Below are 14,413 nucleotides of genomic sequence, written 5' to 3'. Positions count from 1 at the left end.
AATCATTTTTTGAACCTGATATATTAGCATGCTGAGTGTGTTAAAGGCAATCTTATCATAGACACTGCATGGGCAGTTTTTTGCATTCAAACCATGTCTATGGAGATACCAAAGAGCTTCAGGAAAGACCAGATAAATTTCACAAGATTTTTTATTTTTTACTTCATTTTTTCTTCATAAATTTGAGAAGATTTTAACATTATTTTTCTTACCTTTGACTTTTATTTTGGAATATTCTGGTAATATTATTTAAACATAATTTTAAATGAAATTTGACTTTTAAAAATACAATAAGCAAACTTATAAATCCCTCCTCCTTCCTCCTGCCCTTGTTAGGTATTATATTTTATTTGTACAAAGCCATAGCAAACATTCCAAGCATTCTTTTCTATATCTCATACTTGAAATGACTAATTGGATACTGAAAATATAAGCAGGACAATTAATATATTAATGAACAATATTATTTTATTAGGCATTTAAATATTTTGGGATAAAGAAGAAAAACTGAAAGCACACATCTTTTTACACATTTATTTGGAGATAAATAATACACATCTCACTTTCTAGGCTGAAGTGAGAAAATATTTTTGGTCGTATATTGGCATAAGGAATAAACATCATATTCCAACTGAACAGTTCTTATTTATTACAATTTTCTAAATCAATCAAAACAAAGCACATCTTCACAAAGTAATGGCTAGAACAACAATAATTTCTTAGAGATATGTTACATCTGATCTATTTTCACTGTAAGAGCACTCACTTTTAATAACAGCTATTTCAACATAAGAGTATTCTTTTCATGGACTTTGTAAATTAGGAACATGATCATTGCCTAGAGCATAATATATCAGAACATGTTGTATTTAGTTCTCTTTTCATTTTAGATTTTTCTAGTTCTCCGTAGTAAAAAGTATTGTAGGTATAACTTATTTGACATGAAACTGGGATATTTTATGGAATACCGGAGTTGGATAAACATTAACATTTCTGATTGTCACTCTAACTCCAACAACTAAACATTGTAGGCTTTTGAGTTTGCCTATAATCCTTAGGATATATCGTGTATATCCTAATTTTGCTTCAGTATTGCCATTATTTAGTTGGAACAAGATCTGGGAATTGTGATATTTAATTTCTTTATTGAACCACCATGTGATATTGGATAAGTCATTAGCTTTGCCCAAACTTGATGTGATTATGTGTGCATTACTAATAGGTAAGCTAGGATTTATGTCCACTTTGGAAAAAAAAGACAATAAAAATATAGTCTTAATAAGGACAAGATTTTGCTTTCTTTGCTCAGGGATAGAATTTATCCTGAAGAATGAGTGATTGCAAGAAGCCCACCATGGCCATGTAAAGGTGACAACCAGTACCTGGTCTAGAGCCTCTCCAAGGATTTTTGCAACTCAGCCACTTCTCCATTCTACAAGACTTCAATTCATTTTCTTATGAGCTAGAAGAGAAATATTGGTCAACTTTCATAATTTATTGAGGCAGCTGAGGTTAGGTGGGTTATGAAGACCCCAATGATTCCATGAAAGAGGGGAGCAAACTTCAAGTCTTATGACTCTTATCTCATGCTGTATTCATTGGTTGAAGAATAGGTTGCTTGTTACATGGAAACAAATGTTTACAGATATCATCAAAGAAATGTTGACATCGAAAAGACTGTTACATATTTTTTGCTTTTTGGTGGCTACAGCAAGATTGGCAGAAATGTCTTTTACCTCATCCATCTTAAGTGAGATGATGTTGTTAGCTATTGTAGGCAAGCTACTGCAGTTTGCTTATACACAATTGCTTCATGAGACATTTACTGGAAGAAGGTTGTTTTGATTTTCCTGTCATTTGCACAACTATTTTAAGATATTCTGAGTCTCATTTATGATTCCTTATCAGTGATTGCCATTAGCTACAATTTTTTTTTCTGTTATTTTCTCTCCTGGGCTTTATTGGCATTTGTATAATAAAGAGAAGAATTGGTCTCTGATATGGTGTGGATGTTTGTCCCCTCCACATTTCATGTTGAAATGTAATTCCCAGTGTTGAAACTGTGGCCTGGTGGGAGGTGTTTGGATCATGGGGGCAGGTCCCTCGGTCCCTCATAAATGGCTTGGTGTACTCCCCTTAGTGATGAGGGAGTTCTTGCTTTGAGTTCATATGAGATCTGATTGTTTAAAAGTATATGGCACCTCCCCCCACACCTTGCTCATGCTGTCACCATGTGACAAGCCAGCTTCCCTTTCCTTCTGCCATGACTGTAAGCTCACTGAAGCCCTCACAAGAAGCAAATGCCAGCTCCATGTTTCCTGTACAGTCTGCAGAACTGTGAACCAATTAAACCTGTTTTCTTTATAAATTACCCAGCCTTGGGTATTTCTTTACAGCAGTACAAGAATAGCCTAACACAATCTGGCTCCTGAAGATGAAACAAATTAATTAATACATTTCAAGTATTTTCCTAGGTCTCCCTCTCTTTATATATAGAGGCATACCTTGGAGATATTGTGTGTTTTATTTCAGACTACTGCAATAAAGCAAATATTGCAATAAAGTGTCGCTCAAATTTTTTGATTTCCCAGTGCATATAAAAGTTATGTTTATACTATACTGTAGCCCATTAAGTGTGCAATTGCATTATATCCAAAAACACTGTGCATATGTTAATTTAAAAATACTTTATTGCTAAATGCTAATGATCATTTGAGCCTTCAGTGGATCATGATCTTTCTGCTAGTGAAGGGTCTTACCTCAATGTTGATGGCTGTTGATTGATCAGGGTAATAGTTGCCGTATGTTGGGTGGCTGTGGCAATTTCTTAAAAATAAGGCCACAATGAAGTTAGACCTATTAATTGGCTGTTACTTTAATGAAAAATTTCTCTATAGCATGTGATGTTGTTTGATAGCATTTTACCCATAATATAACTTCTTTCAAAATTGTGGTCAATCCTTTCAAACCCGGCTACTGCTTTATCAACTAAGTTTATGTAATATTCCAAATCCTTTGTTGTCATTTAAACAGTGTTCACTGCATCTTCACCAGGAGTAGATTCCATCTCAAGAAACTACTTTCTTGGCACACCCAGTAGAAGCAACTACTCCTCCATTCAAGTTTTATCATGAGATTGCAGCAATTACCCATATCTTCAGGCTTCACTTCTAATTCCAGTTCTCTTGCTATTTCTCTTACATTTACTGTTACTTCTGCCATTGAAGTCTTGAAGCCCTCACAGTTTTTCAAGCAGGTTGGAATTGACTTCTTCCAAACTCCTGTTAATGCTGATTTTGACCTCCTCCCATGAATCGTGAATGCTCTTAATGGCATCTAGAATGGTGAATTCTTTCTAGAAGGTTTTTAATTTACTTTGCTCAGGTCCATCATAGGAATTACTATCTATGACAGGTATAGCCTATGAAATGTATTTATTAAATAATAAGGCTTGAAAGTTGAATTTACTCCTTGATCCATGGGCTACAGAATGGATGTTGTGTTAGCAAGCATGAAAAATCCATTTATTTCCTTGTATATCTCTATCAGAGCTCTTGGGTGACCAGGTGCATTGTCAAAGAACTGTAATATTTTGAAAGGAATCTTTTTTCTGAGCAGTAGGTCTCCACAGTGAGCTTAAAATATTCAGTATACCATGCCATAAACAAATGTGCTGTCATCTAGGCTTTGTTACATTTATAAAGCACAGGCAGAGTAGATTTATCACAGTTCTTAAGGGCCCTAGGATTTTCAGATGGTAAATGAACATTGGCTTCAATTAAGTTGATGACTTTAAGAGTCATCAGCTGCATTAGCCCCAGCAAGAGAGTCCACCTGTCTTTTGAAGCTTTGAAACCAAGCATTGACTTTTCCTCTCTAGCTCTGAAAGTCCTAGATGGAATCTTCTTCTACTAAAAGGGTGTTTTGTCTACACTGAAAATCTGTTGTTTAGTGTAGCCACTTTCATCAATTATCTGGGCTAATCTCCTGGATAATATGCTGCAGCTTCTCCCTCAGCACCTGCTGCTTCACCTTGAACTTTTATGTTATGAAGGAAACTTCTTTCCCTAAATCTTATAAACCAACCTCTGCGAGCTTCCAACTTTTCTTCTGAAGCTTCCTTACTTCTCTGAGCCTTCATAGAATTGAAAAGAGGTAGGTCTTGCTCTGGGTTAGGTTTTGGCTTAAGGAAATGTTTAGCTTTTGGTGGAAAGTGACAGACCTGCTACAGTTTCTTTCATTTGAACACTTAGAGTCATTTTAGGATTATTAATTGGCCTAATTTCAACATTGTATCTCAAGGAATAAAAAAGCCCTAGGAGAAGGAGAGATGGAGGAGATGGGGACAACTGGTTATTGGAGCAGCCAGAACACATAAAACATTGAGTAATTAAGTTCACTTTCTTTTATGGGTGCTGTTCATGGTGCCCCACAACAATTACGATGGTAACATAGATCACAGATCATTGTAACAGATATAATAATAATGAAGAAGTTTGAAATATTGTGGAAATTACCAAAATGTGACACAGAGACAGGAAGTGAGCACATGGTGTTGGAAAAATAGCAGTTGACACCGATTTGCCACAAACCTTCAATTTGTAAAAAAAAAAAAAAACACTATTTGTGAGGTGCCATAAAGTGAGGCACAATAAAACAAGGTTATATACACACATTTACACACAGTAAGTTCTCAACGTTGTCGATAGGTTCTTGGAGACTACAACTTTAAGCAAAATGATATGTAATAAAACTAACTTTACCTTAGGCTAATTTACATAAACAAGCAGTAAGCTCCTACAGCATGTTTGTCATAGAAATATCAAACTTCTAAGTAAAGACTCAAAACACTTTTAATATTAAACATTGAAATAAATGTGAGCCAAACATACATTCAAGAAAGATTAATAAAAACAAGTAAGATAATTATTTACCCAAGTTTTGGTGAATCAGTGAGTGATAGTGGTTGTAGTGGTGATGGGTTGAATCAAGGAATAAATGTTTGCAAAGTGAGAATTATAAGGAGCACCTCCTATCACCACACAGTTCAAAAACAAACAATAAATATGGCAGGCTTGCTGAGCACTTTTGGACCCCACTGTTTGGTGTCAAAATAAATTTATTTTACAATAATTTATATTCATTCATTTTCCAACCTGCTTATTCCTGTTCAGGGTTGTGGGTGGCTGGTGCCTATCCTGGCAGGTCAGGGTGCAAGGCAGGAACCAGCCCTTGACAGGACTCCATTCCATTGCAGCCTCACTCATACACACACTCCCACACTCACTCCAACTTGGACATTGTAGATACAATAATTAATCTAATGTGGACATCTTTGGGATACGGGAGGAAACTGGTGTCCCACGAGAAAACTCAAACAGATGGGGAGAATGTGGAAACCCCATACTGACAGTGGCTCTGGCTGGCAGTAGATTTTTTTTTCTCATCAATGTGTGTGTGTATATGTGTGTGTGTGTGTGTATACTATTGAGGAAACAGTGTCATGAAGTTAAGTGATTTTCAATATAGAAATCATTTTATAGATAATCTATACAACCAAGCTGTTTTTTAAAGAATTTGGATTGTTTTTGTGCACAGAAAACTCAACAGTGTACATTAACCCAGGTTAGTGGCAAGTTCTTTAGTCTTTGCCTTTTCTAGCTTGGCAATGCAAGCCACAGATTTTGGACCCAGGATGTTGCCTCCTCAGTGCTGACAGATCTCATTATATCTAACCTTGTAGTTAGTACTGATAGCTTCCACCAGCTCAGCCAGAACTCCTTTGTCTTCTGAGTTAACATGTGTGAAGGCCACAGTGGCACAAGTATTCCTGGGGACTGGATGTCTTTTAGGCTTGCCTTCTCTTGATAGTGCAGTAAGGAACTCCCATCTTAGGATACAGGGCGAGCCCTCAGCAATCAGCTTGATGGAACCCACATCACGTGCAGTCACTACCATCTGAGCCTTCTTGTTTTCTACCAAGGTGGTGACAGTGTTAACCCTTGCTCAAAGGACAGGTGTTATCTTAGTGGGAACATCTTCTTTGCCAGCAGCTTTCTTCTTCTCTTGCTTTGTCTCTGCTCTGTACTTGTGGGTCAGTTTCAGCATTTGAGTAGCTGTTTGGCAGTCCAAAGCCTAGATGAACTGGTTAATTGCAGGAGGCACTTTCAGCCATTCATAGAGGATAGCTTTTTGCTGATGCAGCCAGATGCAGTGGGGCCCTTTGACAAAACAAGTGAGGTTCCTTTTGAGATGGATGTGCTGTCCAATGCCAAAATTCTTAGACCTTTTCTCAAACAGGGGATTCACCACCTTGTTGGCCTTCTGCTTCTTTATGATAAGGGACTAGAACCACCTTCTCTGCCTTGGCCTTCTTTCCTTTCAGCAGCTTGGGTGGCTGGAGGAAGCAACAAGACCAAACATTTTGTATAAAGGATCTTATGATATTTTATTGTAAAATATGCTTTATAGACTGTAACTAAAGGAAATCCTAGTGGTCCTTTGGGTCAAATAAGGAAAATATATTGCATATGTACAGCTATTTCCTCAATGTCCTTATGGAAGACTTAGCAAATCACCCATGACACTCTACTTTTGTCCAGAATCAGCCTCATAATCCTTCTTAACACAGTGCTTCAGCCAGCCATTATCAGTTGATTGTAATTGATGTGAGAGATGAAAGTAAGTGCCATGTATAATCTAGTAGACCTCTCATTTTTCACATGAGGCAACTGAGGCCCAAGGAGGCCAGTGACCTTAAAGGACAGTGTGATAGCTGAAATTAGAGCTGATGTTCCCAGATTTTAGTTTCAATGTTCTTTTTACTCCATCATGTACTCAGTGAGCCAACAAAATAGCATGGGTATGAAATTTCCATGCCTTTTTAGAATCAGCCTTATTCAATTTTCTAATCTTCAGGTTTCTGAGTTATTGCTATTATTATCTGACCTGTCTACAGTCTTTTTAAATGGGGACAAAAAAGTACAGTTCCTTGAAGAGCATTTAAATCCAACCCAGCATAAAACCAGCCCACAGAATATATGAGCTGTTGATGATATTATGTATATAAAACTGCAATTACCATAAAAATACAGCAAGAAATCTTAGCATCCCAATGTAACTGTAAATCTAATAACAGCAATAACAGAATTTCTTAGAGAAAAAAGCTGCATTGGCTTGTTGTTATTTTTGATCCTAGCTTATTATCTGGGTCAACTGGGAGGTTTTTAGGAACATCAGCCATTTTAGTCTTAGTTCTGTTTGGTCATCAGAAGCTTATGATGACCTAGTGCAGTGAAGGAAGCACTAATATACATAACTGATTGTTTCCTGTTTCTTTAATTCCATGAATACTTGAAGAACAAAGGAAATGAACATGCTAGGAATCTGCATTTGAAAGTAGTCATGCTTACACTTTTCATTGCAGTACGCTTTGATAAAGTATGTAGACTATTCTTTCTGATCTTTACTATCTAAAACTGGATCCTCCTCCTTCCTTTCTACATTTTTGTTGATTTATTTATTGACTGTGTGAATCATAGGGGATCTTCATATAATCCAGTGTGTAGAGACTTGACGTAAAGAGTCATATAAAGAATGCAGGGGCATTCACGTGCTATAGCTTGGAGCTAAATTAAATTACAGGTAGGAAAAATCTTTCAGAGGTGAGTGTAATGCTTACTAACTGTTTGCAAGCTTTCATAAAACAGTTCCAGAGTTAGAGCTGTAGGAGAAATACCTTCTTATTGAGAGTGGACAATCGACTCCAAATCATGGGATATGAAATTAGGGAAAATTGCTTTTAAAAAATGTGTAAAGAAAAAGAGATAGATATAGGCTAACAGGATAAACTGAGCTTGAGTAGATCTTGAGGAAGCTTAGGGCAGTTTACCTGATTTCATTCTGCATCAACAGAACAGGTAAGTGTTGTTTAGGTCAACATTTCTCAAAAAATGGGATCTGTATCCATGAACCTCCTGCTTATTTAAAAATGTGGATCACTAGTTCCTAATGGAGGAGTCAGACATCTTACAGAAATCTATCTCTACAGTTCACAGAAAGTAGTTTTATGCTTTAGTTCTCAAGCACTGGAGCTCTGTTATGAGGAACAAAGTTTCCTAATTCACCTTCTTTAAGTGAATTTTTAGGTTTGCCATTTAGGTTCCCAAATTCAGTTCTGCTGAGGCCCAGTTACCATTTTTCAACACTAAAAAGAATAGGAAAATGCCCTTTTGTTTCACTTTATAAAGTTTCAAAAGCATGAATCAGAAAATCATTTTACTTTGGAACAAAGATTTTCTAGGAAATTTAATCTTTTATTATTCAAGATAATTCAACCAAACACTTTGAGCCAATTTTAAATATTTTGTCTACATCTCATTAGACTAATGCACTTTTCTTCCTTTTATTTTTCTAGACTTAATCACACAGATTCCTATAAGTAATTAGGTTTTTCATTCTTTCTAAACTCTTTATCTTAGCACTTCATTCATTCAGTCATGACATAGTAATGTTTGTGGAATCCCAGTTGCTTTTATTGAGAATGGCTATATATTCTCTCATTAAGTAATTATTTTTCTTTATGTTTAATAAGGGAGAAAGTAGCCTATTGCCTCAGATTCAGGAGTAAAGATGAAATTCACTGGGAAGACATTATGTTTGAAATTTTCCTTAGGGTTCCTCTTCACTGGGTGAATTCAGTTTTAGTGATAAAGCCTAAAAGTTCTCAACATCTCTAAAAATATTATCTTTCTTACTCTAAAGCATGTGGAAAAAGTTGGCTTTGGAGAAGTTATGTTTGGCTAGGAAAGATACTATATCTCATCTCAAGAATGTTAACACATATATATTCATCTCACTCTGCTACCAAGGAAGGGAAAGATGTTCAGATGGCCACATCACTTGAATAGCTGAGTGATAGAACTGCCTTCTAGGTCACTGTTCCAAATCTGAACTAGCCCATTCTGTCCCTCCCCCGGCCCTCCCCCAGTTGGAGGAGAATCCTTTGTTGATTCTCACAATACTATGACTAGACAACATTTGGGAGCAAAAATAAAAAAATATGCTTCTAAATAGCCTTAAATGAATTGTTTTGTCTTTGTGATAATTCCCTGTGACTTTATGCTTGTGACTTCCTGCTGCCTGCAAGTGATGTTGGAAAATGGAAACACAGCAGTTTATTCACTTTTCTTTATCCTGCATGTCTCAAGCTTGGACTTTGGCAGTTGAAGTAAGATAATCATTTTGTGCCATAAAAGAAGAAAAACAGTTTGCCAACAGGAGCCTAAATTTAACATTAGAAGACTGGGAAATATGGAAGAGAGGTGATATCCCAGCAACACTACTCCAACACAGTAATCTGGCAGTTTCTGTATTCCCAATTTATTTTTAAAAAACAATGTCACTTTTGTCAGTAAAGACTTAAAAGCAATTTTGAATGTGTGTGGGAAAAAAATACCCAGAAAATTTCCCCCTAAACCTGATTTTTATTGCTTGATTTGTGGTTTAAAGTATTTTCATAATATTTATAAGTAAAGGTGGTTTCAGCAAGTATGAATTCCACCATTTTGTCCACAGGATTAGTGGGGAGGGATTTTGAATTCAGATCTTAGCTTTGGTGCTGGATGCCTTTAACAAATTGCCGTAATTGCTTTTCCTTTATCCGTATTTTACTTCTCTTTGGCAGGGTGAAATACCAGTTTATCCCAGGTATCGTCTGAGGAAGGTTTGGGGAGTGATCTGTATGTTTAGATTTTCTGCCTAACTTTATTAATGTGGTATGAATAAGGAGCTTTTTTTTTTAGAAAATGACACTTTATACAAGTCAGTTCCTCTCTATTTTCTTTATGGACGGTACTGGGGTGGCAGCAGGACTCACCATGAAAACTGTAGTGGTAACTCTGTTCTTCTGACTGCCTCCCATGATCCTGTGTAGGAAGCTATTAAGCCTGTAGTTAAGTTACTTCCATTTCCTCTTGACTAAATTGATATAATGATAGTAATATATGCTGCGCTTATCTTTCAGTGTGTCAGTCACTGTGCCAATCGCTTTATATGTACGAACTGATTAATCTTTACAGCTCCTAGGAGTAGATCTTACTGTTATCTCCATTTCACAGATGAGGACCCATTGGAGACTGTATTCAAATCCAGGCAGTTTAAATATAGAAATATTTAAGAGCTGCTTCATGCTGCCTCCTACAGCATGGCTGGGCAGAATAGACACAGAACATTCAGAAATTTGAGTTTTGGGAAACATGCAGGAGAGAGATGTGACAGTGAGATGTTGCCTCCAATATGAATTGTCCTTGTCTTCTAAAAACAGAATCCTGCTAAATTAATGACCAACAGTAATAGCAGCTATACCTCCCAGTTTCCCTTGCAGCTGTAATTATGCTTTGAGATGCAAGTAAGATTAATGACATATAAGTGAAATTTTTATTGGGTAACTTTTGCAAACTTCCATAAAAGTTAGTCTACCTGCACACTTTGGCTCTATCCTGCTGCCTGGAATGTGGATGTCATGGTTGGAACTCTAGCTGGCATCTTGGACTATGAGGATAAGGCCACACCTAAGGTGGCGGAGTGAGAAGTTGGAAGACGCCTGGGTTCCTAGGTATTTTATAAAGCAGAACCACTACATCAGCTCAGGAGCACTTTACCTCCAGACTTTTTTTGTGAAAGCAAAGTAAACTTCTGTCTCATTTGAAGCACTGTGATTTTGAGTGTCTTTAACTTGCAGCTAATTGCTCATTTCATACCTACTTAACAATGTGGATTGTAAGTAGCTTCACTATTTGTGCATAGTAAGCCCTCCGTAAATATTTGTTGATTTGAGTTTTTTATCTCTTCCCATTTTAATATTTAGAATCATCTATTTGAGTTACTTTATAAGAACAGTGACAATATGTATGTATATTCTACATTCAAAATCATGCTGTAAATGTAAAATAATTGGGCAACAGGGCCTGAGTGGTTTTCCTTTTTTCTTAAAGTAATGAGGAAGATCCAAATATTAGAATACAACTTACAAGTATCAAGGTAAAACTCCCTTGCCACATCCATGTAGCAAACCAAATGTACTTTAAGTATGTTACTATTTATTACCATTTGACTTTTATTTGATTTTATTTTTGAGACAGGGTCTCACTTTGTCACCCAGGCTAAAGTGCAGTGGCATCATCTCAGCTGACTGCAGCCTTGACCTCCTGGGTTGAAGCGATCCTCCTGCCTCAGCACTCCAAGTAGCTGGGACTACAGGCATGCATCACTATGCCCAGCTAATTTTTGTATTTTTAGTACACATGGGTTTTCCCATGTTGTCCGGGCTGGTCTTGAACTCCTGAGCTCAAGCGGTCCACCCACCTTGGTCTCCCAAAATGCTAGGATTATAGGCATGAGCCCTTGCACCCAGCCCATTTGCCATTTTATATTAAACATTAGATCAGTGGGGTAGGATCAATGGATAAATCAATTAGAAAGAGTGATTACTGGAAAAATCACTTATGGGTTTATCTGGATGTTACAAATCAGAATTCTGATATTTAATATTATGCTACATTTATGGTACAATGAAAAAGTACATGTGTTTATGTATGTTTATATTGAAAAAGTTTCAAAACCAAATAAGTCCTATAATATCCTATTAATCATAAAAAAAGAAAAAGAATTGGTGGGGGACAAGATGACCAACTAGACGCAGGCAGGTGGAACGGCTCTCATGAAGGGACTCAGATGACTGACACACTCCTAACACATCTTCAGAGATAAAGGCACTAAGAATGGACAGAGGGAAGACGCAGAAGCTGGGCTGAAGGGTGAGAAAGCTGGAAACGCTACATGGGGCTACAGTATACCCACACTCATTCCTGGCCCCCAGTGGCTCTGAGGGAACAGGTGAGTTGCACTGGCAAGGAGCAAACTGCTTTTGCCACAGGCCTCTGGAACCCTGGCAGGGGGAGACCCCTTGACCACTATGGACACTCAAGATGGCATGGAGAGCTGCTTAGAGAAGGGTTAGGGGCAGCAGCCAGCTGATGTGGAGCCCGAAGAGTTTGGTGCAGGACTAGGGGAACTGTCAGTCCTGAACTCTGCAGGGTGGTCTTGCCCATCAGACGAGGCCAGTCTGACCTGAGAACCCCTTGGTCTGCTGTCCTTTCCCAGAGCCCCAGCCTGGCTACACCTGCTTGCAGAGCAGCCTCGGGTGCCCTGGGGTCCCACACCATAGCTTCTGCACTGGCAGATTGTGCCTGACTGGTAGAGAGCTCCAGCAGGATGGCCCCTACAGCCATGCACCAACCCCCATGCTCCCTCCCATACTGCAGCTTTCTTTAGGCCTAAGGCAACTCCCCACATTGCTTTGCTGGCATGTGTCTGTGGAGGTGGGTTTTGCTTTTCTTGACCATCAGCATTTGGGTGTGCAGTCTACCCTTCCTCTCCCCACTGACCTCTGTTGCAGACAGAGTCTTGGTGGGCACAGAGTCAGCCAGCCCTGCCCCCGCCAGTGCTCTGCCCTTATGGTAACACTCTGCAGAGAATGGTGGATCCTCCCATGCCTGAGCAATCATTCCTGCTTGCGAGGCACAGAGACCTATACACCCAGACCTGCACCCATCAGTGCCCCACTCCTGAGCCAAAACACCACCTTCAGGGTGACCACACACACAGTCACCAGCGGAGGCCCCCCAGCTGCGTTGACTTTGCCACTGTGGTGAACACTTGCAGGGAGGCAGGCATCCTGGCACCTGCCACCCACTATGCCACAGCTGTTGCTACTGCTGCTACTGGCACTTGTGAGCAAGAATGGGTCCCACTGTCATCGCACTCTGAAACACTTTGGCTGACACCACCCGTTGGAGTGTACTGACCAGTGGTCTGGGAGCACCTCATTCTCCCCCACCTCCCCAGTGAAGTGGATTCCTAACCTCAAGGAGCCAGAGAACAAAGTTGGGGCTCAATACAAGTCCCCCAGAGTTACAGCATGCAGTCCAGGAGTTGGGAGCTAAGCATTGGCCCTGTAAAATCTTCCAGAAATGAAGGCAGTTAGCTGAATTCACTTTATACCACAATCAAACTTCAAGGTCATCAAATAGGATAAAAGGAAAAAAACCCCATCCAAAGGTCAGCAGTTTTAAAGATTGAAGGAAGGTAAGTCCACAAAGATGAGAAGGAATCAGCACAAGAACCCTGATAACTCAAAAAGCCAGAGTACCTTCTTTGCTCCAAATGACCACATCACCTCTCCAGCAAGGGTTCTGAACTGGATTGAGATGGCTGAAATGACAGAAATAGAATTCAGAATATGGATAGGAATAAAGATCATTGAGCTACAGAAGTATTTTGAAACCCAATCCAAGGAAGCTAAAAATCATGATAAAATGATGCAGGAGCTGACAGTCAAAATAGCCAGCCTAGAAAAGAATCTAATTGACCTGATAGAGCTGAAAAACACACTACAAGAGTTTCATAGTGCAATCACAAGTATTAATAGCAGAATAGAACAAGTGGAGGAAAGAATCCCAGAGCTTGAAAACTGGCTGTCTGAAATAAGACATTCAGACAAGAATAGAGAAAAAAGAATGAAAAGGAACAAACAAAACCTCCAAGAAATATGGGATTATGTAAAGAGACCAAATCTGTGACTCATTTTTGTCCCTGAAAGAGATGGGGAAAATGGAACCAACTTGGAAAATATATTTCAGGATATCATCCAGAACTTCCCCAGCCTAGCTAAAGAGGCCAACATTCAAATTCAGGAAATGCAGAGAACCCCTAAGATACTTCACAAGAAGATCATTCTCAAGACCTATAATAATCAGATTCTCTCCATGGTTGAAATGAAAGAAAAAGTGTTAAAGGCAGCTAGAGAGAAAGGTCAGGTGACCTACAAAGGGAAGCCCATCAGACTAACAGTGGAGCTTTCAGCAGAAACCATACAAGCCAGAGGAAATTGGGGGCCAATATTCAACATTCTTAAAGAAAAGAAATTTCAACCCAGAAATTCTTATCCGGCCAAACTAAGCTGCATAAATGAAGGAGAAATAAGATCCTTTTCAGACAGGCAAATGCTGAGGGAAATTGTTACCATCAACTACTTTACAAGAACTCTTAAAGGTAGCACTAAATATGGAAAGGAAAGACTGTTGTCAGCCACTACAAAAACATACTGAAGTACACAGACAAGTGACACTATAAAGCAACTACATAAACAAGTCTGCAAAACAACCAGGTAACGTCATGATGACAGGATCAAATCCACACATATCATTACTAACCTTGAGTGTAAATGGCTTAAATGCCCCAATTAAAAGGCACAGAGTGGCAAGTTAGATAAAGAACCAAAAATCATAGTATGCTGTCTTCAAGAGACCCATCTCACATGCAGAGACACACATAAATTCAAAATAAAGGGATA

At 38.5% G+C, this 14,413-nt stretch overlaps 1 protein-coding gene and 1 pseudogene across 8 annotated transcripts in view, besides 1 other annotated feature; one reads left to right on the top strand and one right to left on the bottom strand.

Annotated features, from left to right (window-relative positions):
- Positions 1-14,413, top strand: part of CTNNA3 (catenin alpha 3) — a 1,851,072-nt gene that overhangs the window by 423,090 nt on the left and 1,413,569 nt on the right. The window lies entirely within an intron of this gene.
- Positions 5,617-6,382, bottom strand: RPL7AP51 (ribosomal protein L7a pseudogene 51; annotated as a pseudogene).
- Positions 12,497-12,997: an enhancer, noted in NCBI's record as "H3K27ac hESC enhancer chr10:69087266-69087766 (GRCh37/hg19 assembly coordinates)". NCBI's record gives its function as "activates a minimal SCP1, AML or CMV promoter by ChIP-STARR-seq in primed H9 embryonic stem cells {active_cell/tissue: H9 hESC(primed)}" and the evidence as "EXISTENCE:reporter gene assay evidence [ECO:0000049][PMID:30033119]".

The sequence above is a fragment of the Homo sapiens genome, chromosome 10 (genome assembly GCF_000001405.40).
Source record: "Homo sapiens chromosome 10, GRCh38.p14 Primary Assembly".
Lineage (NCBI taxonomy): Eukaryota > Metazoa > Chordata > Mammalia > Primates > Hominidae > Homo > Homo sapiens.
The sequence above is the reverse complement of the archived record's forward strand: the minus strand, read 5'-3'. Positions and strand labels throughout refer to the sequence as shown.